At 41.1% G+C, this 27,818-nt stretch overlaps 1 protein-coding gene and 1 long non-coding RNA gene across 8 annotated transcripts in view; one reads left to right on the top strand and one right to left on the bottom strand.

Annotated features, from left to right (window-relative positions):
• Nucleotides 1-27,818, top strand: part of LGI1 (leucine rich glioma inactivated 1) — a 40,224-nt gene that overhangs the window by 3,522 nt on the left and 8,884 nt on the right. For 3 of the 6 annotated variants that reach the window (XM_017016911.3, NM_005097.4, NM_001308275.2), the window contains exons 3-4: nt 15,922-15,993; nt 16,089-16,160. The exons of the other annotated variants lie outside the window; for them this stretch is intronic. In XM_017016911.3, coding sequence (XP_016872400.1) covers nt 15,922-15,993; nt 16,089-16,160 — 144 coding nt within the window. The remainder of the gene's footprint in view (nt 1-15,921; nt 15,994-16,088; nt 16,161-27,818) is intronic. 6 annotated transcript variants of the gene reach the window in all.
• LOC105378437 (uncharacterized) lies at nt 1,633-27,151 on the bottom strand. 2 transcript variants are annotated; one of them, XR_001747552.2, is made up of 6 exons: nt 27,075-27,151; nt 15,496-15,568; nt 14,501-14,570; nt 3,963-4,057; nt 2,327-2,441; nt 1,633-1,719 (listed from the first exon to the last, which is right to left on the bottom strand). It is a non-coding gene; the product is annotated as an uncharacterized LOC105378437 (long non-coding RNA). The 2 variants fall into 2 exon arrangements; XR_007062251.1 differs by lacking the exons at nt 1,633-1,719; nt 2,327-2,441; nt 3,963-4,057 and adding an exon at nt 4,886-11,450.

Consider the following 27,818-nt stretch of genomic DNA (forward strand, 5'->3'; position numbering starts at 1 on the left):
ATGTCCTATTTCCATCATCCACCCTAAAAATCTGATAATGTCAGTATGCCCCCAGATGCTTTTTCAGAGCTTCTGAAAAAGCTATGATGAGAAGTACTTGTTGAAATGTCAGTCTGGGGTACTGAGGAAAATAGACATGGTATCTGAAGTTACATGCAGTGTTTGGGAAAAGATCCTGGTAGGCCATGGCTGGCAGTTTGTGTTGGAGAACAAGAAAAACAAAAACCCACATTCCGTAGAGAAGAGAGAGAAAGAATAAAATTATTCAATAAAAATTCATTAGATTAGTTGTAATATACATTTTTTAAAAATCTCATTTATGGGTTTAAACATAACAATAAAAACCTTTCCCAAGCAAATGCAATTTCATTCATGTTTTACATAGGGCCAGTTTCGAAACATAACCAATGACAACGATTATGCGTTCTAGCTTGCTTTTAGTGATAGAAAGTGGTACTTTTAGTGAATGCAGTTTAGGGAAATGTGTTTTCACACATTACAGCCCTGTTCCTTCTCAACTACAGACTGAAGTCCCCAATGATATGGGCTCATGATGGAAGTGAAATTCAAATTTAAGAGGACAAAATGTGGCCACTTCGCCACCCACTTATAACATATTTTAATTATAAACCCCTGTAATTCCCGAGAGTGTTCTATTTTCAGGGAGTGATTTCCAGGGTAGTTTTAGTATCATGCTCAAATAAAACAACACAAAACAAAAACACTGCACGTAAGAATCCGACATGACCAGAAAAAATTTCTTAGTATTCCAATTGGATGTGGTCTTGTTTGAAAGACAGAATTGATCTTTCAGGGTCAAAGGAGGGGAATAGCGTTATTTTAAAAATTAATCCACAATCAACACATAAATACCTGATCCATAAGAAATTAAAAACTAAAAACAAATGGAAAAGCAAAAGGCATGAACAAAAGAAGGAATAAGTCCATCCTTACTAAGGCTTTATCATTTAGTCCTTCAAAATATGATCTGTCCAGGAAAAAATATCCATGGCCTCCTTTACCTTTAAAGCAATTGCTACCTTTTTCTATTCCTCCTTATATTAGAAGCCTACAATTTAGCAGTCTTCAATGACCACTCAAGCCAAACCTATCAGCCAAGGGTGTTTTTGGAGGAATTATTAGCTGGTTATAGGTGAGCACGTTTTGGTTTGTATCCAGCTGATGCCCCCATGATGGACCAAAAAGCAAAAATTTCAGTCATCTAGGCTGTTTTGTCTACAGTTTGCCCAATGATCCATAGATCTAATCTTTAACTTTTTAATTAATTACTTCTTTTTTGTTTTTACTTTCTTAAAAATAATTTTAAATTTTATTTTAGATTCGAGGGTCCATGTACAGGTTTGTTACTTGAAGTGAATTAATTCTCGTAACTGCACAAACTAGCACTCACCACAATTGTTTTCTCTGAAAGTGTATTTCATCCTTTCAGTTATTCAGGCAAGAAACTTCAGAGTTACCTGACCCCTCTCTTTCACTCTCCACTTCCACCTGGACAAGCATCCTGTCCGACAGCATGAGAATCTGCCTCCTCCTCTTCACCACAGCACCACTGCTTTCACTGAGGCTGCATTTCATTCACTGTTTCACAGGCTGTGGCAGGAGCCTCCACGCCTCACTGTCTGCTTTCAGTTCCCATCTGACCCATCTCCATTAGCGCTGCCTTTCCTGAGACACAGCTCTCCGTGCTTTCATGACTCCCTAGAAACAGAGAAAGTCCAGACACCTGAGCTGGCATCCATAGTGTTTGGCCCTTTCTATTTGTCCAAGGTTATCACTCACATCATTGACTCTACACACACAGACACACACACACACACAGACACACACACACACACGTGCCCAAACAAGTTCTGCAGGATCTCATTCTATGACCTCTGTTGATTCTCAAATTCTCTAGACTTTACTGATGTCTGGCACTGTGTGCCATTTGCTAGAGTTATGGTGCTTGTATCTGCCTTGTGTCTTTCATGGAGGATCACCAATAAACTGTGGTCCCAGAGAAAAACCCAGACATGTTTTCCCATGTATTTGTTGAATCCAGTTTATGTTTCCATCGATTTTGTGCTGAAGACTCCTGTGTTACTCTCAGCAGATAATGCTGGTCATGTTCACACTCTTTCTGATGTTTGGTGCACCCTATCTGAATTCACGTGGACTAATAGTGTGGAGGTCTGGGAAGTGAGCCGAACTAAAAAAACTCGAGGAGATATTTGCTCATGAAGTTGTGAATTCAAACTTCCTCAGCAGAGATTTCCAGCATACCAGATTTCAAAGGCAAAGCATCTAAGCCTTTCCTTAGACCCACCGCTCGAATCTCTTGTGTCCCACGCTGACTTCACATTTGGTCTCCTTGGTTTTTAGTCAGACTGCAGAGGCCGACTAGTCTGTCCTGGGAAGGGTAAGATGCTCCTTTATCCAGCCTGACCGGACATCCAGAGGGAAATGTTAGTTAAGCATTATTAATATGAAAAGAAAAATCAATAACACAAAGATAATTTCCTTTTTGATTTAAGTACTGCTTAGCCAAAATAAGTATTTATTTATTGTATAGTTGCAAGCAGCAACAAAATGAAAACAAAAGCCTCCCATTTTAGCAGACATGTTTTGAGGCTCTACTGGGTAGCAGGTACAATGTTGGGCTTTGTGAAGGACACAAAGATGAGTGACACGCTGTCACTTTTCACCCTGATATGGCAGCTCCAAGCTGGTAGTGATTCTTGATATGGTAAATTATACTTTGCCTGTATTTGAATGCATTAGTTTCATTTAAAAAATTATTTTTATGTAAGTAGAGATGAGGTCTTGCTATGTTGCCCACGCTGGTCTCGAACTCCTGGCCTCAAACAATCCTCCCACCTCACCCTTCCAAAGTGCTGGGATTATGGGTATGTGCCTGGCCTCCTTAAATGTATTATAAGGTAGTCTTGATAAGCATTCTCATTTTGTTCAAAATGAGATTCAGTTGATTAGTGATGATGGTGATGCTTGCTGGTTGTTGATCCTGTGGCTAATACGGGCTACAGAATGTCTGCAAGGGCTTTACAGCATCAGCTGTAATATCAAAACAGCTGACCCTGGTGAGCTGGCAATGAGGCAGACAACACAGACTTGTGGGCAGATAAGCATGGGTTCAAATCCCCACTCTGCTTCTTCCTAGTTGTATGATTTGGGGCAAGCTTAATCAAGTCTTGATATCTATATCTACAAAATGAGGAAGAACCGTAGTACCTATTGCACAGAATTACAGTAAGGATTAAGTAAAACAATGCATGAAAAATGCTTTGCAAGGTTCCTGTAACTCAATACACATTAGCTTTATTACAGTATCTGAAAATCACTTTAATTGGAACTACCATAACATCAGATTAGTGTCTGATTGTATAATCTGGGTTTGCCGATAATCTCAGCTTTAAACATTTTGTGGTTCTACACACAGTTCCCCAGCAGAACTTGCTGAGAAATCTTTTCTTTAAATACTTCTTACAGGAAACATGAACTATTTACCTTTCAAAAAAAAGTCATAACCCTCTCCTTTCTTCCTCATGAATAAAATGACTGGCACCACGTTTTGTAAAACATGCCAGATTTTGTTTAAATAATTAATATTGGCAGTCTTCAGATGAGTGGTTCTATGGTAGCATAGAAAGAGGCCTAAACTAGAAATCAGGAAACATGGGTTTGAAACTCAGTTTGGCCACTATTGGGCTGCGTGATCCAATAGTTTGGGTAGGTCACAAAACTACCTAATAGTTTGGGTAGGTCACAAAATATCACTGGACCTCAGCTTTTATTGCATAAAATATTAGAGGTAGATTAAACTGTGGTTCTGAAACTCAAATGCTAGTGGGGTTTGGGGCGGTAAGACCAATGAAGGAAGCAGTTGAGTATAAGACAATAAGGAGTAGTGGTGACTGAGGTAAACCAGAGAAGACATGTCTTACCTAAAAATCCTCTGCTCCAACTGACTATTGCTGATGGGATTGTGGTACATGCACATGGAGCCCTATCTTCCTCATTTTTAGGGGAAGGTGGAATTCTGGAAGTAGATTTTTAAACAGGATAAAGACCAAACAAATATAAGTTGGCATTTTGAGACCCTTGCATTCAATTACATCTAAGGTCTCCTCCTATCTTAAAATTCTGTTGTATTCTACAAACAGTTACGTTAATATAATATAGAAATGGCATGGTTAAAGAAATGGACAACGATGGCTTGGCGCGGTGGCTCACGCCTGTAATCCCAGCACTTTGGGAGGCCGAGGAGGGTAGATCACGAGGTCAGGAGATGGAGAACATCCTGGCTAATACGGTGAAACCCCGTCTCTACTAAAAATACACAAAATTAGCCATGCGTGGTGGCGGGCGCCTGTAGTCCCAGCTACTCGGGAGGCTGAGGCAGGAGAATGGCGTGAACCCAGGAGGCGGAGCTTGCAGTGAGCCGAGATCGCGCCACTGCACTCCAGCCTGGGCGACAGAGTAAGCCTCCGTCTCAAAAAAAAAAAAAAAAAAAAGAAATGGACAAAGATTATTGAATCAGTTCTAACAAACCAATACATTAGGTTGTTCATTGAAAGAAACTCATAATATGAAACTGGCTGTTATAAGGTTATTAATACAATAATTGTAGTTCCCAATCTCCCAAACAGGTCCAAAGGGACCTTACCAGGCTCTCCCTGTGGTGGTTGATGATAAAATGATGTTTCAGTATCCCTCTCATGGAGCAAGGATTGGAAAAAAATTGTTAGGCCCATTTTTATATAGCAAGATGGCAGGTGCTTGCATGTGTAAAATGTGATCAAAAGGCAATAAATCTTTAAAAATACAAACTAGAATGTATACATACAAATAACTCTTGACTTCACAGAGGGCCATAGATTTTGCCCAACTGTGCTTCCATGGCTAAAGATTTCTGGACCCTCCTTTGAGAATTGTCTTCATTGCCAGTTTACAAGCCACGCAATAAAACCAGGCAAGGTTTTATTAGAGACATTAGTTATTTTTGTATTGCTTGGTGCTAAGCATTTTATAGATCTCTTTTTTTTTTGAGACGGAGTCTCGCTCTGTCCCCCAGGCTGGAGTGCAGTGGCGCGATCTCGGCTCACTGCAAGCTCCGCCTCCCGGGTTCACGCCATTCTCCTGCCTCAGCCTCCCGAGTAGCTGGGACTACAGGCGCCCGCCACCACGCCCGGCTAATTTTTTTGTATTTTTTTAGTAGAGACGGGGTTTCACCGTGTTAGCCAGGATGGTCTCGATTTACTGACCTCGTGATCCTCCCGCCTCGGCCTCCCGAAGTGCTGGGATTACAGGCGTGAGCCACCACGCCCGGCCTATAGATCTCATTTTTAATGTCATCATCATGGTAACCTTTTGAGGTAGATATAATTATCTCCATTTTGCAAATGAAGCGCTGAGTCCTAAAAGATAACCTCCTCAATGTCACGCCCCTATTAAGTAGCAGAGTTGGAGTTTAAACCCATGTCCTCACTTTTAACCACTTCTGTCTACTTCCTCCTGAACATGAATCATCATGCTTCACTTTGCATAGTTTTGTTCCCAAAATCAAATCCCCTCTCAAAGGGTCAACCTTTGCCATTAACAAGAGTTTTCAGGAGAATGTGCCCTAATTCCTGGAGACAATGACTGAAAGGAGTTTCAAAAGCCCTTTGAAAGAGTGGCCGCATTGCTGGCAAGAGCAGCTAGTTTCCCTAGGTTGCAACTCTCATTTATATGTGTAAGCTCTGATCTCCTTGCTTAAACAAAAATAGAGAGAAAGAAAAGAAAAAAGCAAAAGAAAAAGGCCTTATTTACTTTAAAGTTACACCTTAGACTACTGTTGTCTAAACTTGTGTCCTGTGGAGCAGTTGACCTGAAAGAAGAGTTCTGTGCTCAAATAAATTTGGGAAACTGCACGTTCTATCCCTGCTTGGTTATTTACAATGAAGTTACCTTGGCATAGAAACATCTCTGAAATTATTCAAAATTGTTTCACTTTTCTTAACATCCCATAGAATATTGGTTCTATGGAACATACAGTACTTTGGAAATATATGCATGTGATAATTCATCTTATTTTTAGCTTAACTATTTGTACCCCACCTCATTCTAGAGAGGTTGGATAGCAAAGGATACGCAGGTGGAAAGAATCTCATCCTAGTGGATACATTAAACGGTCTGTCTCCATATAAGGAGCAACTCAAGACCATTTTGTTAGTGTGGATTCGTTGATGTGACCTCTGGGAGTCAGGCTCCTCAGTAGGCTCTCTACCTGGTCAAGCAATTTAGCACACACCCCTTCTTTAGGGACCTCCCAGTAGATCTCCATCTTTGGGAGGAAGGAGATGACTTCTTGCAGCTCATTCAACAGGAAAAGGCTTCTGAGTGTGTAAATATACACTGTCACTGTTTTTATTTGGAGCAGATTTCATCACAGCTATTTTCTAAATGGCTAAACAAGCATTTCCCTGGGTATGTTCCATGGAATATTCATTTTGTAGGAAGCTCAATGATAAAAGAGTCGCATTGTCAATGAGACCAGGAAACTGTATATTTAATTCCATTTTGAAGAGTCTCAATTTACTTAAGGATAGAAAAGGCACAGTTAAGAACCCTGATTAACTTCTTTAACCCACTTTTCCTAAATGTATCTGCCAGTTTTTGTGTACATAAACCTCTCAACCCTTTGAAGATCGTGCGTTCCAGGGAATACACTCTGGGAAATTCTGGGCAAGACTGTTGCAGGTTTGCAGCAGATACTAGGCAGAGCTGATACTAAAAAGAGGGAGCTGGCTTCCTCATGGCCACTCACCAGTCCTGGGGAAGTCGGGGAGGGAGAGAGGAAGCCTGAGCCTGGAATCCCAGCTCTGCCACTTACAAGCTTCAAATCACTTCACCTCCCTCACCTCGGTTTTCTTTATCTCTTACGTGGAGAATATAAAACCTACATCTTAGTATTCATTTGAGGATTAAAATCAGATGTCAAGCTGTTGAAGATGAGGCCTGGCATGGAGTAGACCCTTCTCCTTGATGTTCCAGGACTGGGGAGATCCAGGGTGATTTTATAAACACATGGGGAGGGTGGGCTGCTGACTAGCTGTGCCAATTCCTAGAAAGGAAGAGTTTCCACTGCTCTGGGATGAGAGATAATCCCAGGAGGATTGAGGATTACCAAAAGGGGGTTACCACTCCAAAAGGAGAGGGTCCATGCTCGAATGTTTGCTAGTGTGCATGTCAAGGACATCCCTGCAAATCTGAAATCCACATCCTAAATCCTAGCCCCACCACTGACAAAAGATGTGACCTTGGTTAAGTCACTTAACCTCTGCCAGCCTCAGTCTCCTCATCTGTAAAAAGAGGAGTTGGACTACGTATCTCTCTGGAGTACCCCCAACCCTCAGATTAGTGTGGAACCAAATTAAGGTTATTCCAATCAATCCAGGTTGAAGAGTTGGTAATCTAATTAAGGATCAGCTGAATTTTCAAGGTTGAGAGTCAAAAAGAACTGTCAAATAATGTACTTGTGTGTGATGCTTCCAATTTTAATGCTTTTCTGTGTTAGGAGCATATTTTTAAATATTCAAATGTGAATTATTCACATGGCACATGCACTTATAATGTGTGCATTTAACTAAAGTGAATCATCAGCCTATTATTAATTATCATTTAACCAGCCCTATTCTTTTGGATAAAGGAGAGTGTTAGTAAAAACCAAAGGGTTTGGATCATTTAAGCAAAGCCAGCTCTAAGCAATTTGGCAAGCCCCTCCAGCTGTCCCTCCATATCTTCCAACAGCTATAACCTGTGCATCCTGTGCTCTTTCATTTACATATACATATACATATGCAAATAAACCCATGTTCACTTGGGAGTGTGCACACTCATGTTTGTACACACTGTCCGTGTCCTACCTAATATCCTAGATGTCCATCAAAGTCTTCTTGGGGCAGGTGACATCCTCACGGGACCTGAGTTTCCTTAGCAGTTAAACACGTGTTCTTTTCCTAGATCTAAGTAAGAGCTCTTCCAGCTCTGACATTTGATGTCTGTGCTCTTTACTTAGCTATTCCTTGGCAGAAGCATTGGAGACATGCTCATACACATTATCTCACATAATTCTTAAAATCATCCAGGAAGTCTTTTTGCATCCTCAATCCTATTTTAACAGATGATGAAACAGATTTACCTACTTGATGTGTAAACATACAATAATAACTGGCAGTTACAAGCTTAGAAACCTGATTCTCTATTCTGAATCCAATCAATTCATTCTCCAAGTGACAACCAGGCACTGGCTACTCACTTTTCCCTTCTTAATCAGAGTGGTTTTTGTGGAGTTGGGAATCATCTGGAAGAGCCTCCTAGATCATCTCCCCTCCATAGCCAGGAAAATCTGCTCTAGGCTGAAACATGGGATGTAGGCCACTCATGGGCCAGATACAATTCTAATGGCAATCAAGATATTATAGGTGACTGGAGAGAGTCTGAAGAAGTACATGTCATTAGAGCCAGGGTGCCTGGCACGGGACCAAATGAGCAGTCTAGTTTGAGACAATGGGAAGTTTTCTTAGCAGGAGTCACCCTTCCCCCAACCATTCAGCCATCTGCAGACCAGCCTCCCCGCTCCCCAGATTCCACATGCCTACTCTTTCATGAATGAAGGCTACAGTGCTATAAGCATAGACTCACACATCTTTAGAGCTACAAAAGACCTCACAAATGATCTAGTCTAGTCTCCTCGCTTTACAACATAGAGAAAAGTGGTATGCTCTAGGACACAGAAGGTATGGTCAAATTTATATTAGGCTTCCTGATTCACTCTTCAGTGTGCTGCTTCCCTGGCCTCTGAAGAGGCGAGGCCCCAGGGCAGGAAAGCACCTCAGTGGCCCACCAGACTTAGCACCAACACATGAGCCTGCCCAGTCCTTTCGCTCTTATGCATTCCCGTCTCTGGCCTCTCACCCGGTATTTGGGCAGCCTTACCCTTGACCCCTTGTAGCTATATCCTCATTCTTAGATCCTCTGCTTCTTCATTTACTTCTCTGTTGCTGGCCCTGGTTCCCTCTGAACTCTGAGCTCCATGTTAACCCTGTTGCCTACTTTTCCGTTCCTTTTGAAGTAAATTCTGTGTGTCCTACCTCTCCGTTCAACCAGGAACCCCCTAATAGCTTTATGACCTTGGTGTGAAAGTGTCACTTAGTCATGACCCGTCCCTACAGACAGCAGAATCTGGAGGAATTAGAGCTTAATGTTAGCATTTTACAGGTCACATCCTCTGATCCCAGAGCAATATTAATAATGAAATTATGAAAGCTTTTTTTTAAAAAAAACAATTACAGGCAATTTTAAGAATATTATTCTAAATTCCCATTGAAATCAAATACGCAATTTTAAAAGATGAGTACAGAGCAAAACTTACTGGATGCATTACACAAAGTAAAGTTCCATTTCTAAATACTTTCATTTTTTAATCAGAAAGAATAAAAGTATATTATTGAGCACTAAACTTAATAAGTATCCTAAGGAAATCAGGAGAAAAGCAATAAAGAAAAGATAAAATAATAAATTAGAAAACAGTGGGAATAAAAAAATAAATCGAAGATTTGATCCTTGGAAAATGCCAAAAAAAAATGTGCCAGACATTTGAAGGATATCACATACTCAAATAGGGGAGATTCTGTTAATTCTGTTAATTATTCAACAGAAAGCCTTGGGTAAATTTGGGTAAATATTTAGAAAATATCAAGGCTGTGTCTTACCTCACATCATACATAAAAGTAAGTCCCAAATGTATTGAAGAGTTAAATATTAAAAAGAAAATGTTAAGGGGAAGATGTAGGCAATATTTCCTTGATCTCAAGACAGGAAAGGATATTTAAAGAATGAAATCATGTCTTTTGCAGCAACATGGATGGGTTGGAGGCCATTATCTTGAGTAAAATAACTCAGAAAGTCAAATACCGCATGTTTTCACTTATAAGTGGGGGCTAAATAATATGTACTCATGGACATAAAGTGTGGAATGATAGACATGGGAGACTGAGAAGGGTGGGGGTGTAGGAGGAAGGGAGGGATGATGCAATACTTAACGAGTGCATTGCACACTATTCGGGTGACGGTTACACCAAAAGCCCAGACTTCACCACTACACAATATATCCATGTAACAAAACTACACTTGCACCCCCTAAATTTATAATTTTTTTAAAAAAGGATTAAAGGCAGGCCAGGCGCGCTGGCTCATGCCTGTAATCCCAGCACTTGGGAGGCCGAGGAGGGTGGATCACGTGAGGTCGGGAGTTCGAGACCAGCCTGACCAACATGGTGAAACCCCGTGTCTACTAAAAATACAAAAATTAGCCGGCACAGTGGCACATGCCTGTAATCCCGGCTACTCAGAAGGCTGAGGCAGGAGAATCTCTTGAACCCGGGAGGCGGAGGTGGTGGTGAGCCGAGATCGTGCCATGGCACTCCAGCCTGGGCAACAAGAGTGAAACTTTGTTTCAAAAAAAAAAAAAAAAGATTAAACGCAAAGAAATAATACATAATAGGAGTTGATGTATTTTGTTAAATACAAATTTAAACTTCTATATGTTAAAAATCATTAATGAAAAGGCAAATTGGTAATCAGTAGGAAAAAACTTTTAGCATCAAAAGAAATAGGAAAAGATGAAGTAATATCCTTAATAAATAAAAAGTGCTTAGAAAGCAACAAAAGGGGTCAAAGGACATGATTTCATAGAGAAATAAAAATGATAATTTTAAATGTTGGTGAGGATATGGTCAGATAGGCATTTCCTTACTCAGAGTTGGACATGTAATTTGGTACAAGTCAGCAGTAAAGAACTAGAGATTTAAAAACCTTCTATAATCTAATAATGGTACTTTTAGAAATCTATCCTAAGTCTATCATAAGGAAATAAGTAGAGATAGGAAAAATATTTATATATAAGGATGGTTATAATCATGTTTATAATAGTAAACATTGGAATCGATAATTTAAAAAGTTACATCATGATATATCCATAATACAAAACTTACTCATCTATGGAAACTATATTTTTGAAAAATTGATTGTCATGAGAAATTGTTCATGATATAATAAGCAAATGAAAAGAAGGATACACAATGATATAATATTACATCAATTTTATAAATACATATGTGTATATATCATATATGCATTATGCTTATGCATATCAGTGTCTTTGGGTAGTATGATTATGGTGCACTTCATTTTCTTCTTTAAGCTTTTGTGTTTTCCAGAATTTCCACAATGAGCATATATTATTTATAAACAGAATTCACCAAAGTGTATTCAAGGCTGGGTACGGTGGCTCATGCCTGTAATCTCAGCACTTTGGGAGGCCGAGGCGGTTGGACCACTTGAGTCCAGGAGTTCAAGACCAGCCTGGGCAGCATGGTGAAACTCCATCTCTATAAAAAAAAAAATACAAAAATTAGCCAGGCTTGGTGTTGCGCTCCCGTGGTCCCAGCTACTTGGGAAGTTGAGGTGGGAGGATTGCTGGAGCCAGGGAGGCGGAGGTTGCAGTAAGCCAAGATCGCGCCACTGCACTCCAGCCTGTGTGACAGAGCGAGACTTTGTCAAAAAAAGAAACAAAAAAAAAAAAACTGGAAAAACCTCACAAAGCGTGTTCAAAATTTTCAAACTTTCTACTTGAAAAACACAGATTGATATTATCTGGATGTGATTTTAAGACTGCTTACTCTAATTAATTCCTCTAAGAAAGGCATTATTGTTTAATTACATTTCTTAAATCCGTATGAGCTGAGTGGTGTTATTATGGCTGCTCGCCAGAACGTGGTTATTATGCCATTATGTGACCTGGGACCTGTGCTGAGAGGCCACCCAGTGTGTGGAAAAGGGTACTGAACCAGGGGTCTTGGGCCTTGCGACCTCAAGGAAAGTGTTTGGTAGCCTTCTGGGCCTCAGTTTCCTCTTCTGTCAAATAGATCTTACCTGCTTTACTACTTTCACAGAATTGTCTAAAGACCAAATAAGAAAATCCAGGCAGGAGTCTATGACATGTAGGCTATTATGAAGCCAAAGATCATTATTCAAAGAATAAGCTAGTACCTGCCTGGAATTCATAGTTCATATAAATGATTTTTCTAAATCTCCCTCTTGGTAAGGAAACATACTCCCGTGGTTGCAGAAGAAAAAAGCCTCCCCTCTCCTCCCACAGCCCCTTTTCTTACTGAATTAATAAGTGCACAGCCCTTTGGGGAGGGTGTAGACAGATCAGGCACACCCCTGTGTCCACCTCCACCAAAATTCTAGGGGAAAATGCCTGGCTTCTTAGGAAAATGCTTCCCTAAAAAAAGAGGAGAAACCTCAAGTGTTCCCATGGAACTGGGGCAGAGGGCAAATTCCGCACAACCTCTGCACAAACCCACGGGCTGGCTGCTTGGCAGGCCTACAGGGTCCAGATCTCTGATCTGTGGCTCAGAGTAACGAGGTCATTTGGATGGTACATTGGTTTCATAAACCCCTCCATGATGCTGCTGCTGTTGTGAGGATAGTTGTCACTTCCAACTCATATTATTGCAGACTCTAGGCTACACGTAGTTATAGGGACAAGAAAGTCCACAGCTCCTCCACTCCCCACACCAACGGCTCCAGGCAGACTTGCTGCAAGGAGCAGAGACCCCTTGGTCACCACAGGTAAAGGGGACAGTGTTTTGACTGACTTGGCAAGCTTACCATGTGCAACCCTGGCTGCATATGAGTCTCCTAGGGAGCTTTTTAGTAACCCAGGTGACACCCCACGTTTAGAATTTAACCAGAATCTCCAGGAGTGGGAACCAAGTATCAGTATTTTTAAAGCTGTCTGGGTGATTCCAAGAGCAAGCAGGATTCAGAAGCATTGGCTCAGGTTTCAACACAGATCTAGGTATCTCTCCCACACCAGTCTTCAAAAAACTTATCTTGGTGGGTTTTCCACCACAATTCTACACTCTCCTAAGCATTCTTTGCACGTAATTTTACCTACCATGGATCCAATTCAACCCTAAGGCATCCTTTATCCTTTAGCTTCTCTACCGGCTGGCTCCATTTCTCAGTCTGCCAATTCCAGATCCCCAAGAAGGGTGTCGTCTTAGCCCAACTCACCTTTTTAAACCAGGCTACTTGGGCCATGGGATGCTGGTTGATTTAGAGACTGGCTACTCTGTGGAAAGGGACAGAGGTTGTGCAGTGTAGAACACGGCCACCCTGGTCTGCCCCAGTTCTGTTTTTTGTGTAGGTGGGGTGGGTTGGGCACGGTTTCCCTTAACAGAGACTGTGGAATACTTTAACATATCTGGTTCAATAACAAATTATAATAATGAAATCAAACATATTTAGAGGAATCCATACAAATTAAGGGTCAGAGTTTCATCCTCTGTATAGAATATGATGTAGGAGTCTTTTTAAGTATACGTAGGATAATAAAATGGATAGCCCACTCAACTATCTTTAGAATGTATGTATAATTTTATACATCTTTTTCCATAGAAACTACAATTGAATTTAGCATTGAGAGATTATGGTATTCATTATTATCTTAGCCAGAGGGTGTTTTTTTAGCTTTTATAAGAAACTTTTAAATTGAAGTATAATATACATAAAGAAAAAGTGCACGTTATAAATGTACATCTCAATGACTTTTTACAAAGTGAATACCCTTGTAACCAGCACCCAGGTCAAGAAACTCAATATTATCATTACCCCAAAAGATGCCCCTTGTGTTCTCTTCCAATTACTCCTTGCCTCCAAGGGTAACCACTCTCCTGATTCTAGCAGCATAGATTAGTTTTTGTACTTTATATAAGTACAGTCATATAGGATGTACTTTATTGTGTTTTGGCTCCTTTCCTTGAATATTCATCCTTAGTTTTGCATATGCATTTGTAGTTCTCACCAGAGGTTTTAGTCCTTGAAATGTAGTTCAACAAACATTATTCAGCCAGGAACTGTGCCCGGGGCTGGGGACACCAAAACAAATAAGGGCAAATTCCTGCTGTAAGAAATATTTAATCCAGTAGTCTCGTAATGATCAGAATTTAGTGTAAGGTGAATTCCTCTTTGTCCAACAAATATTTATTCAGTGTCCACTAGAGGACAGGCGCTGTATCACAGGTGCTAGGGATAAGAAATGAACAAGCAGACAAAAAATCTAGCAGAAATCCTCTCTTTTCTTCCCGTGACGTGCATGGGCAAGTTCTGCCCACTAATATTCATTTCCCACTATGTCCTGCATCTGATTTAACATAAAGGGAAGTAGCAATGGAAACTATTTCTTCTGGCAACTTGGAATATGAGAAGTCCCTGGTCCTTGGGCCATTTTTCAAATCAGTGAGTGTGGGAGGTATAATATTTGTGTGTACCAATTTCTTCCTTATTCCATTCTCTCCACTGCTGATGCTGCCTATACTGAATGCAATGAAAGTCTGGAACCTAAGGAAGCCTTTGGGTGTTAGCTTACCTTGGAGTCAAGCTGAGCAGTCTTCTTGTTTTCCAGAGCCATGAAGTGAGAAGAGACACAATTGCCAAAGCTGTGATGGAAATCATACAGCTTTGAATTTGTTTTAGTAACATGGAATTCTAACATGTGTCACTGTTCATTAGTACTGGCTTTTCAGAGCCTCGTGAATTACTTGGGTACAAATCCATGACATTAGAGGCATGAGGGATTAGAAGACAATCCAACACCACTCTAGGATTGATAGTTTAGGAAGAAATGCAAGAAATCATCTCATTTTGTTTGGTTGGTTCATTCCTACCCCCCATTCTCCACATTTTTATGAAAAATTTTAAGTATATATAAATGTAGACAAAATAGTAAAATTCACTCTTATGTATCCATCTTTCAGCTTCAAAAATCATCAACTCATGCCAATTCTTCTCTAACCCCTTGTTGTCCCCCTCCTCTGATTATTTGAAGCAATCCCAGATGACAAATAAATTACTCATAAATGTTCACAAAGTGAGATCTCCTAGTTTTAATTCCTGTAGTTCACAGGTTCAGCGGTGAATTCACTAAGCTAGTTAGTGGTACTTATATTTAATCCCTGGCTTCAGAAGTAAAAGTGATAAGCTTTACTAACAGAATTACTATTATTATTATTACATTATGACATAATATAATATATTCTTGTACTGTTTGGCCTAAAACTACCTCTTTTAAGCCTCTCATTCAGTTCTCCAAGGAGTTCAACAGGGTGTGGGATGGCTGATTGATGTTCTTTTTCATCAGTAATTTCTAAACCAAATCCTTGTGGATTTTGAAATTGCAAATATATTTGTCCAAGTAAAAGCTTCAACTATTTGGTAATAAAATGGGTCTAAGACTCTTCCCAAACCTCATGTTTCCCATTTTCAGTCTGTGTGCAAAGGAGGAGGTTGGCTGTTGTTCATGGAGCCAGTGTCAACTGCCTGTCTGTTACGAGATGTCACAGCACAACCAGGCATGCAGCTTACTTTTTTTTAGGTTTCCCAGGCTCAAAACCGCAAAGTACCATTGTTTTTGCCAGTTAGAACACTCCAGAGGTTTCTAGAACAAGCAGAAAAGATTGTTAGTGCCTTTGTCATGAAAATATGTAAAATGTTGCTTTGGCTGCTTTGGCTATCATAGCTGCTCTGATTGTATCTCAAAATGTCACCCAGGGTATGTGGCAGTCATTGTGAGGAATCGGGCACCAGGCACCCCTTGATGAGCCTTTGATGAGGAGATGATTAGGAGTAAAAAAATGCTGCATAGATTATCTGCATAACTAACACTGTAGCAGACAGCCATGCAGACATTTTTCTGTATACAACTCCCACTCATTTTTCTGAGAGATAAAAGCAGCCAAGATTGACAATCTGTCAGTTTCACCATTTTCATTGTGTACTTTTTCTGGGCAGGTTATTCACATCGAACTCCTTTGATGTGATCAGTGATGATGCTTTTATTGGTCTTCCACATCTAGAGTATTTGTAAGTAAAAAAGCTTTTTTAAAACATGATGATTCAGGACAAGTACTCTCAAGTTCCTGTAACTGTTTGACAAAAAATATTATAACTTATTGCAGATTCATAGAAAACAACAACATCAAGTCAATTTCAAGACATACTTTCCGGGGACTAAAGTCATTAATTCACTTGTAAGTATGAATGTTGCTATTACTTTTTAAGCTTGCTAATGGACAATGCAGTTTGATCACCTGTGGTTAATGCACCTACTTTATGAGTGTCCATAAAAATTTAAGAAACCCAAATGACTTCTCTCCATGCACACTTGCCATCTTTCCCTGTCATCTGTCAGAGGGTGTTCAATAAATTGATTACTATTAATATTTTTATCCAAAACCAACCACAATTAGAAAAGCAATCTAATGCAGGGAAATTGTGTGCCTGAAATAACTTCTTTTATTATCTACATCATTACTTGCTTCATGGATCATTATGAGTTGACTGTATAATTTGATATCAGCTTTTTTTCCCTCTATAAGCCCTCACTTTATATACATTTAAACATAATATAGCCACAGGCGATGTCTTCATAGTACCTGATCAACTTGTTTATCAGTGAAATATTTAATTACTCAATGGATGATTACAGCTAACAGCAGTTGTTCTTAACAGGGAACAATTTTGTCTCCCAGGGAACATTTGGCAATATCTAGAGACATGTTTGGTTGTCACAACTGGGGATGTAAATGGCATCTAGTGGGTGAAAGGCAGGGATTCTTCTACTGCTTAGGACAGCCCTTCACGACCAAGAATTATCCAGCCTAAAGTGGCATCGTGGGCAGGTTGAGAAACCCTGAACAACAGGACCCAAACAATTTGTTTCTTCTAGCCTCCCTCACCCTCTACAGACAAACACATTCACACACACACACACACACACACACACACACACACACAGGCACACATGTGCATACACACACACACTCACACACACACTCTCACATACACACAGATTATTTTAAGGAAACTAGAAGAGCATGGAAAGAAAAGGCACTAACATTTACATCACTTTTCATCTAATCCTCTCAATAATCCTGCCAAACAGGCACAATAATCCCTGTTTCAGAAATGAGGAAACAGTCTTGGAGGGGATATATGCCTCGTGAGCTGATTAGTTACGGAATTATGAGAACATCTACTTAATTGTTGAATTGCAGTGACTCTTCATCCTTTCAACAGCTATTTCTCAATCTACCTAATATGTATCTTATCAGTTCTAGATACAGATGCAAGAGATCCAAGTGTCATAGTCATTCTGTCAGCTTTAACCTGTTCTCTCATCATACTTCATTCCCAGCTCTGCTCTAGGCCCTAGGATGCAGCAGGGAACAAAGGAGACAAAAATGCCTGTCCTTGGACTGAGCCTGATTTCCAGTGTGTCCACGCGGTTGTCACTCTGCCTCCACCAGGCCCCTTTCTCTCCTGTTGCTTGTTTTGTAGCAAAGAGAAGCTAATAGCCAGATATATTTTACAAAATCATGCCTTTCAAGGCTTCTGTATAGAGTTATTGTAATAAAAAAACAGTGTTTGCAATACTACTCTTCATGTCAATGACATGATATGATGCAAAGATGGCTGTTTACAGAATGAATGCTATGCAATTTTATCACAGAGCTCAACACTGCCAAACCTCATTTTTCAGACAACAAATAAACAAAAGAAACAAATATATGGAAGGAGAAATGGAAATTCATGACCTCAACTTGAAATCCACTAGATTCACATACATCCCAATCCACATGGCCTCTGTCCAGTGCTTAGCATCATGAGAGCTGTAGGGAGGATGCACAGCCCAATTCATCCAGCTGTGTCTCCTCTCCAGCCTAAAAGCCTGTGGTTTCTCTCAGGCTCCATGCACAGAACAGGAAAAAATGTTTCCCTGTCTTGGAAGGAAGGAGGGAAGGAAAGAAAGAAGGAAGGAAGGAAGGAGGGAGGGAGCGAGGGAGGGAGGGAGGGGAGGGGAGGGGAAAGGAGGGAAGGAAGGGAGGAAAGAGGAAAGGAGGGAGGGAGAAAGAAAAAGAGGAAGGAAGATGAGAGAGGAAGGGAAGGGGGAGAAAGGAGGGAAGGGGAAGAGGAAAAAGGGAAAGAAAAAGTCTGTTTGACATCCTAGTGTAGGACACCCATTTTGTTTACTGGAGCCTATGATGTGTATCAAATGAAATGGGAATTTAAATATGGGTCTTAATGATGCCCTTTCTTTAGCAGTATGGAGCCTGTAAGAGAGAGAGACTGATACAGAACACGCTTAACATTCAGAAAATTTCAGGTTCGAGGAACACCAAGGGCAGCCTTCAAAGAGAGGCATGACTCTTAACAGGCAGTGAAAGAGAAGTCCCACCTCTCTGAGCTGGTGCTGGAGGTAGGAAGGTGTTATGAGGGAACAGGGGTTAAGGCTGTGGCTAAATGAATATGACCCTTAGGTCTCTTGTATCTTTAGCTAACACTTATTAGGTTGACTGATACGGCATTGCCAATGTTAGGCTGTTTTTTATCTACAAAAATGGCAATGCCATATGGTTCATCTTAAATAGTTTCTAAGATGTGACACATGCTTTACAAGGAGTAGGGCCTACAAAGATGAGTAAGATCTAGTCCCACCTTAGAGAAGCTCAGGCTAGCAAGAGAAATTGGACAAATATTTTCTCACTGAGTGCCTTTGTCCCCAAGTTATGTTCTCCTTTCAAATTATGCTATTCTTCATGGTACAATTCCTTCCTTCCATCCTTCATTCTTTCCTTCCTTTCTTCCTTCCTTCCTTCTTTTATTCCTTCCTTCTTTCCTTTCTGTCTTTCAAGGAGAGATGGAGTAGGGAGGATCTGAAACCCAAATTTCCCTCTGCCGGCTCAGTAAGTCAGGTTCATTTTCCATTATTTATGGCGTATTAATAAATCTGGCATTTGTCTGAGCCATTAGTTTCCTTTTTAAGACATTAGGCTTCAAAGTGCACTTTTCTCCACCTCAGATCAATCCTTCCCAATCAAGGCAAACATTCAAGCTGTGAGGAATTAGTACCTCACCCTCTAACCTGCATGCATTGCAGGAAGAGGTTACAAAGCTTTCTCATATTCTTGACTTCATCATAGTCTCCTGACGACCCCGTGAAAGAGACAGGGCAGTAGCACTAGGTTCATAGATGAACGAGCAAGTGGAGGTATACCATGAGTTGAAGCTGCTCCCCAGTTACTAAGTGGTAAAGCCAGACAGCTCCCACCGTCTTTGATGAGACGTCCAGTGCTACGTCCACTGTGCCAGTTACCGCAGGACCAGATAGCTTTTATTGAGCTGGCTGGATCCTTCCATGGGACATGATTTGAGGAGAAAATATGACTAGAGAAGAAAGAAAAGATCCTGAAAACAGGAAACCTACCCTCATATTTCATCTCAAAATGCAGATAGTTGGGATTAGACGTATACTTTCAGGTCCAGCTGGTTCCCACTCTGGCCTAACATTAAAGCCACTCCCTTACCTGCGCCTTTATATAAATTTAGTTCACGCCTAAGAAACAATGCACTTTCTCACCTTCTTATACAGAGATGTCAGTAGATTTCTCTTCTAAGAGACATTTACAGATAACTTAAAAGTTATTATAGGCCGGGCGTGGTGGCTCACACCTGTAATCCCAGCACTTTGGGAAGCCAAGGAGGGCAGATCACTAGGTCAGGAGATCGAGACCATCCTGGCTAACATGGTGAAACCCCATCTCTACTAAAAAATACAAAAAATTAGCCGGGCGTGGTGGTGGGCGCCTGTAGTCCCAGCTACTCTGGAGGCTGAGGCAGGAGAATGGCATGAACCCGGGAGGCGGAGCTTGCAGTGAGCCGAGATCACGCCATTGCACTCCAGCCTAGGTGAAAGAGCAAGACTCCGTCTCTAAGAAGTAAATAAATAAATAAATAAATAAATATAAAAAAGTTATTATATATACCTGGCTATCAGGCGAGATCCTCCCCTCCCCTGCAAATTAACCCTTAAAACCCTGCAAATTAACCCTTAAAAAGGGAGAGAGACTTCTTAAAGTTAAGTCCTTTCAAAGCCTGTCAAATGTTGGGATTCTCAATTACTTTGTTTTGAATCATTGTTCTAATGTTATGCATGTTTCACTTTAATGTTTGAATGGTTTGTATATTTTAGTAATCTTTTGTATATTTGAATTTTTCTGATGAATATATGTTATTTTGGTAATCAGGAAAACATGAATAAAAAATTAGTTTATGAATAAAAAATTAATTTATGGCCAATGATGACAAAATCTTCAAACATTATGTATTGGCTTCTAGTAATACCTATGAGTCTTTAGTAATGATTGCTTTGTGTGCCATTAAGTGTCACTGTGGCTAAGGCCCAGTGGAGCCAGCATTGTTTGCATGCATATATATAAATATTTGGAGAAAATTATCATCAATCTATATGTATTGTAGAGTATCCAATGGTTGCTCAGCACTGAGGGGGTACAAAGGACTATATAACAGTCCCCAAACTCAGGATGCTTGTGTGTTCCCAATCAGTTGCACAGGATGTCTTTGTTTTAGCCTTCACATTGCCTTATATGTAAAGAGGTAGTGCAATGTAGCAGCTAAGAGGGTGATCTCTGCCACCAGACTGCCTGGGTTCAACTGTCTCTCTGCCAGCTCAATAGGACAAGTTTATTTTCCATTATTTACTACTTATTAATAAATCTGGCATCTATCTGAGCCATTAGTTTCCTTTTTAAGACTTTAGGCTTCAAAGTGCACTTTTCTCCACCTCAGATCAGTTCCTCGGCTTTGCACCTTAACAGCTGTGGAATTTGGGGCAGGCCATTTAGCTTCACTATGCTACAGACTGGGCATGTAAAATGGGGTTATAATAATAATCTCTTAAAATGGGATGGGGAATAACAAGGCATTTAAGAGTATTAGTGCCCAAGGTTGTCTTGAGATTAAGTCAGTTAATAAATGCAAAGTGCTTAGAACAGGGCCTGGTATGTAGTAAGCACCACTGTATAACTAAAACTCACTGCCCAACCTCCATTAGTCCTGGATCAGAATTCTAAATGCTATAGTGTATATACCATTTAAACATTTTCTGTGAAATTTAAGTAACTACAAAGTGCTCAGAACAGGGCCTGGTATGTAGTAAGCACCACTGTGTAGGAAAAAACTAAAACTCACTGCATAACCTCCATTAGTCCTGAATCAGAATGCTAAATGCTACAGTGTATATCCCCTTTAAACACTTTCTATGAAATTAAAGTAACTGCACTTGCACCGCCGCAGGTTCAGAGAGACACAAACCCAAGCTGAGAATCTGCATTGCAGGGGGGCTGGTGCACCCCAGATGGCTGTGGGCGATGCTTTCTTAGCAGCAGAGCCCGGTGGCACTGAAACAAACGCGGTGTTTGAGCCAGTCTGGTCTGCCTTAGAGAGAAGACTTTCCAGTGGGTTCCACAGTCACAATCGGAGGTTTTCTTGGGTAAATGATGAAAACACCAAAGGGCAGGAAATGGTCATCATTTCTGTGAAGAAGGAATGGCCGTCTGCCTTTGAGAACACTTGACCTTACTCAGCCAGTTTCAAGGTAACTAGACATTCAGCTGCGCAATATCTCAGTTGTTTTAAAGAATGTTTCTGGCCAGGTGCGGTGGCTCACGCCTGTAATCCCAGCACTTTGGGAGGCCGAGGTGGGCGGATCACAAGGTCAGAGATCGAGACCATCCTGGCTAACACGGTGAAACCCCATCTCTACTAAAAATACAAAAAATTAGCTGGGCGTGGTGGCGGGCGCCTGTAGTCCCAGCTACTCGGGAGGCTGAGGCGGGAGAATGGCGTGAACCCGGGAGGTGGAGCTTGCAGTGAGCCGAGATCGCGCCACTGCACTCCAGCTTGGGTGACAGAGCGAGACTCCGTCTCCAATAAATAAATAAGTAAATAAATAAATAAAAGAATGTTTCTTAGGTGAACTTTGAACCAGGACCTAGAGAATGGTGCTTAGTTGAAGGCAACTTTAAAGAGCCTCCACGTTGCCTTGGGATTTCTACCACAGTGGGGCTGTGGGGAGGGAGGGTCCTTCCTGAGGTGGGGGTCCACACCAGCTGGTGGGGACTGCACTAGTCACTCACAGGGCTTTGAGCTTTCTCCCCCAGTGCCTTGGCACAGGGGGCCTCAAAGGAGCATCCTCTGCTCTTTTCTTTGCCTAGATATGTACGCGTCCTCTCGTCTACTCCAGCCTGCCTCATTCATTCATTCATTTAAAAGTATCTATTAGGCTGTGTGCGGTGGCTCATGCTTGTAATCCCAGCACTTTGGGAGGCCAAGGCGGGCGGATCACTTGAGGTCAGGAGTTCAAGACCAGCCTGGCCAACATGGTGAAACCCCATCTCTACTAAAAACACAAAAATTAGCCGGGCATGGTGGCGTATGCCCGTAATCCCAGCTACTTAAGAGGCTGAGGCAGGAGAATTGCTCGAACCAGGGAGGCGGAAGTTGCAGTGAGCCGAGATAGCGCCACTGCATTCCAGCCTGGGTGACAGAGTGAGACTCCATCTCAAAATAAATAAATACATAAATAAATAAAAGTATCTATTGAGGGCTTACTTTGTGCCAGGCACTATGCTAGCACTACAGATAATGGAAAGAGAACCATCCTTCTAGTACTCATTGCAGAATTATCCTAGAAATAAAAGAACATTGATTAAATGTTTCCTCAAGTCTCTCATTGACTGTGTCTTCACCCCTCTCCCAATCGGCTCCACCCCACCCCAGTCAGATATTCTAGTGCCACCTAGTGTGACCTCCATGCCCTGGAAAAGCCTGTTGTCAAACTCACTGACCCCTAAGTACGTGGCCTAAAGTATCACCTATCCTAGTGTCATCTATTAATTTTAAAGATGAAGCCATAGCCTCTCAGTGAAAATGACAAAGCTGTGATTTAAGAGCAAGAATAGGACTTGGAGATCATTCTGACCCAGTGATCATTCACTTTATAGAAAAGGGAATAGCCTGAGCTCAAACTCAGATATCCACTTCCCTGTCCACGTCACCCCTGTACTCTGTGGCTGAGTTCTGGGCCCTAAAGTGAGTCTGACTGGCAAGGGGTCCACTTTGGCCAACACAGGAGCCTGGTACTCCTTAAACCAAAACATGTAGAAAGTCTTTTTCCTGACAACTCTGGTGGCTACCTGGGACTCCTTGCCTCTCTGTCCTTCATAATTTTTCTTCCTCCTATTCCTAAGAATTAAGAATTCTTATATCTAGTATTAAAATTCAGCTCTGCTTAACAGCTCTTGGCTAACAGATCTTTGCAGAGGAAGGAGGGTCCCCTACTGCAATTCAGGGTGACACTCTCTCAAGTCGTGACACTCTCTCTAGTCATGACACTCTAGAGGAAAGAGAAGGACTAGACACTCTGTGGGCCAGGATCCATAACATGATGTTCCAGAATCACTTGCTTTTGATGGGCTCTGTATTAATGGCTGGAAGAAAACATGACTAAATCTTAACAGTGGTTACTTCTGCTATGATAATTATTATTTCTCTCCTTTTTTAAAAAAATAATTTTTGCACTTTCCAACTTTTCTTGAAGTGAAGAAATAATTATTATTCCATATATATGTGCATATGTAGTGTGTGTATATGTGTGTGTGTGTATCAATAAAAGTAAAAGATGGGACTTTTAAGAATACCAATGCATAGGATTATCCCTACTAAGAGAGGCAGAAAGAATAGATGATCTCAGCTTCCTGAAGCAAATATTTTAAAGTGTTTAGATATTTAATATCACTGTTTAATGACAATAACAACAAAGAAAAAGATTAGTTTTGTGGTCTTAACACATAAGGTTTAAAAATTCACCTGCAGATACAGTTTTTCCTGGAATCCATTACAAAGATATGTATATAAAAATATTAGTAGCTACATGTGTTAATTCTCACAATAAGTGAAATTCATATCCTTTACTCAGTTTTGCAGATGTCAAAACAGAAACCCAGAGAGGTGAAATTAACTTGGCTAAGGACACATTCCTAAGAGTGATGACGTTCAAATTTATTCCCTGGTGGATTTGGACGAAGTTGGCACTTAAACCACTATACTCCCCTAAGTGATGCAGGAAAGAATAGCTACAACCAGTTTTAAAAATACTTAGCACGTATAGCAACTAGAGCTTCTGTTGAGGAAAAGTTAATAATAATATTATTATATCATTACTCTGTGAAGCTGGGAGTGGGATGAAGACAGAACTGGGAAAATTTTATCCAGGTATTTTGCTTTCTGGTAGCAAAACTCGGTGCAGAGGTGGAATCTGAAGAATCAAATAATCCTAATATCAACCCTAAAATAACCCTAACCCTAACCCACAAAGTGCTATCTCAGTCTCTCTAGCTGTTAAAATTCCCTGATAGACACAGGATCTCATTCTACTTACCCCTTTTTTAATGACTAAATGCTGAGGAGGCTTCAGGGAACGTCGCGTGACTTGCCCTTTTTTTTTCCTGTTGCCCCTGAGCCCGGTGCCCTCAGCAGCCCTCCGCTGCAGCAAATCTCCCTGAAGCCCTCAGATGCCCATGATGATTTGTGGAGGCAACAGGCCCTCATCACAGCTGGCTTTAAGCTGGCGCAAAGAACCACAGCGGTGGCTTCAAGCCTCGGCTGCCCTGTAGCCCCAAACCTCCCTAAAGGGTGAGGGCCTGAAACCGCATGAGAGTTTTCTAGGAAACAGGCAGCTCCCCGCTGCAGGAGGTCTTGTGAAAGACATTTGCATGACCTGACCACTCAGGCCCCCGAGTTCGGTAATTCCTAATCTAACCCTGTAGGTAGCTTTGGAACTTGACAAATGCAGCCAAACGATTGATTTCGAATGACTGAACCCTCATTGGACAGAACCATAGATATATACAAATACTAAGCAACAGGATCCTTTCAAAAAGTCAACTTTATTCTTTGTTTCTTCTGATTATAAAATAATAATACATGCTTGATGATAAAAACTCACAACATAAATATGTATTTACACAGAAAAGTGAAAGATTCCAGTAACCCTACACCTACCTCATTTTTAAAATCTCCTACAAAATATTCCGTGTTACATATGGACCATAGTTTATTTACATGATCCCTTATATCTCTTTGTTGTTGTTGTTGTTGTTGTTTTTGAAACAAGGTCTCACTCTGTCACCCAGGCTGGAGTGCAGTGGTATGATCATGGCTCACTGCAGCCTCAAGTTCTAGGCTCAAGCCATCCTCCAACCTCAGCCTCCCAGAGTAACTAGGACCACAGGCACACACCACACCCAACTAATTTTTGTATTTTTCGCAGACAGAGGATTTTGCCTTGTTGTCCAGGCTGGTCTCAAACTCCTGACCTCAGGTGATCCGCCCACCTCTGCCTCCCAAAGTGCTGGGATTACGGGCGTGAGCCACCATGCCCTGGCAACCTGTTACATTTTTTGCAGAGTAATTCTCAGGCTCTGTCAGCATTGCTTTCCTAAGTCGTTCTCTGCCCAAATCCCTCTGCCTACTTTCTTTTTATCTAAATGTAACCTGTCACTGGAGCCTCCCAGAGACTTAGGGAAGCTGTCTGAACTCCAGCTCCCTAGCCTTGGATGTCTGGAAGCCTCACTCTCATTTCTGAATCTTGCTTCCTCTTGAGTCTGCTTCTCTTAGTGAATCCAGGCAGCCTTCTCATGCCCATCACTCACCAAACCTAGACATGAAGCTTCATTCTCTCTCCTCTAAGAGCAGTTCATTGTGGGCAAGGATTTCATTGAATTTTTGGTAGCGGAGCATCAGAGGGTTGACACTGGGTTCAGCGAATCCACCCACCATTTCTCCCTCTGGCTCCCCTGCCTCCCCCACCCTCTGATTCCCAAGGCAAAAGCCTGTCACAAGAGGTTCTCAGGAAATTTAATGCCTCATTCCACAGCCCATCGGGCCAGCCTGTCCTTCTCAGCCCCATCTCACAATTCTGGTGAATTAGAAGCCCTCCATCTTGTCATGCAAAAATACTGCCTCTCCATTCTGGAAGCCCCATAGCTCCAAGTCTGCAGCTCTGTTTTGCCATCTGTTCTGTGGTTAGCTTGCACGTGGATCATGTGAGGCCTAAAGCTCTACTCCTTTGGGCAGGAAGTAGAACTTCCAGATTCACTCATTATTTAAAAGAATCCCACAGGGTACAGTGGCTCACACCTGTAATCCCAGCACATTGGGAGGAAGAGGCATGAGGATAGCTTGAGCCCAAGAGTTCAAGACCAGCCTGAGCAACATAGCAAGACCCTGTCTCTACAAATAAAAAAAACTTAGTTGGGCATGGTGGGACACACCTGTGGTCCCAGCTACTGGAGAGGCTGAGCCCAGAGGATCACTTGAGCCAGGGACGTTGAGGCTGCATTAAGCTGTAATTGCACCACTATATTTCAGCCTGGACAACAAAGTGAGACCCTGTCTCAAAAAAAAAAAAAAAAAAAGAATTCCCCTTGGACAGTAAGACAAGCATGGTGCCTTCTCCTGTATAGCCCCTATTGGCAGTAGTAATTCAGGATTTGACTGCTTAATCATTGCATGCCCACTGTCCTGTGACTCAGCCTCCTCTAAATTTATGCTCTGCAGCCAGTTGCAGTTTTTACCAGCTTCAGAGGAAGGGACATCCACTTAGAAGTTAGTATGATAACTTTAAGCCACATTGTGCCAGAAAATAAACTGAGACACATAACATGGGAGTGACTCTGGACTGGTCCAAGACATCAGAAAATCTCTTCATTCAAACACCAGTCAGTAAGATGAATTATGGAGACATTCTCTTGAATAGTCTTCCTTAGCAGCATTTTATTAATTTTGCTGTATGTGGACAGCCATAGCAGTTCATTCATGTGGTCTGTTTCTAAACGTTGTTTCTTGGACAACATACGTACAGAAGCTGTTCTCTTCTGACACCAGCCACTCTACTGAGAGTAGTTCAGACACCTGCACCATCCTTGATTATCTCATTTCCTTTTTTCAATAATCTTATGAGATAAGGTATTATTATCTTCACTTAAAAATGAAACAACTGAATTTCCAAGAAGATACATTACCAAAGTCACACAGCCAGTAAATGCTGGAGTCAGGATTCAAACATAGCTCAGAATCACTCCAAAAGCCATGCTCTTTGTCACAATTGGACCGTCATTGACAATGGAACATTCTGACTCAGTTCCTATTCTTGCATTCCAAGGTTCATTGAGAACCATTTTCCAAACTAGCAGTAATTTCTAAAACCTAGAAAAACAACATAACTAACTTAAAAATAAGTTCTAAAGTTCATGAATGTTTGCACTTGAGAAACCTTATATTTAATTAGTGGAGGTAGAAGACATAGACTTTTGAGAATGTTTTAAAGGGAAGTTGAGAGAATTTTCAAGGGTTTAGAGGCTAATGGTATGGGCTCTTTAGTTTTAGTTTAGTTTTTTATTTTTATTGTGGAAAAAAAAAACACCTCTAAGAAAAGTTTATAACGTGTATATATATGGTGCTGGTTAAAAATAGAAAATTACACTACTTGGTGACCTTCCCCAGTCATACAGCATTAGCACTGTGCTATGTCTATATTTGTGTACTAGGGACACATTTCCCTTTCCTTGACATTATCAGGACAATTTTTTACTCATTAACCTTTATTAGAATCATTCTAGTGATTTACGGAAGAACAAATAGAAAGGGAAAGGGAAAAACATTCCTGTGATCACAGGAAAAGAACCAGAAGAAGGAGAAAGAGGGGGATGATTAAAGAGAATAGATGGATAGGTTTTTATAAGAAAACTTTTTTCTGAGGTGGAATG

This window comes from Homo sapiens, chromosome 10 (genome assembly GCF_000001405.40).
Source record: "Homo sapiens chromosome 10, GRCh38.p14 Primary Assembly".
NCBI classification, from domain to species: Eukaryota; Metazoa; Chordata; class Mammalia; order Primates; family Hominidae; genus Homo; species Homo sapiens.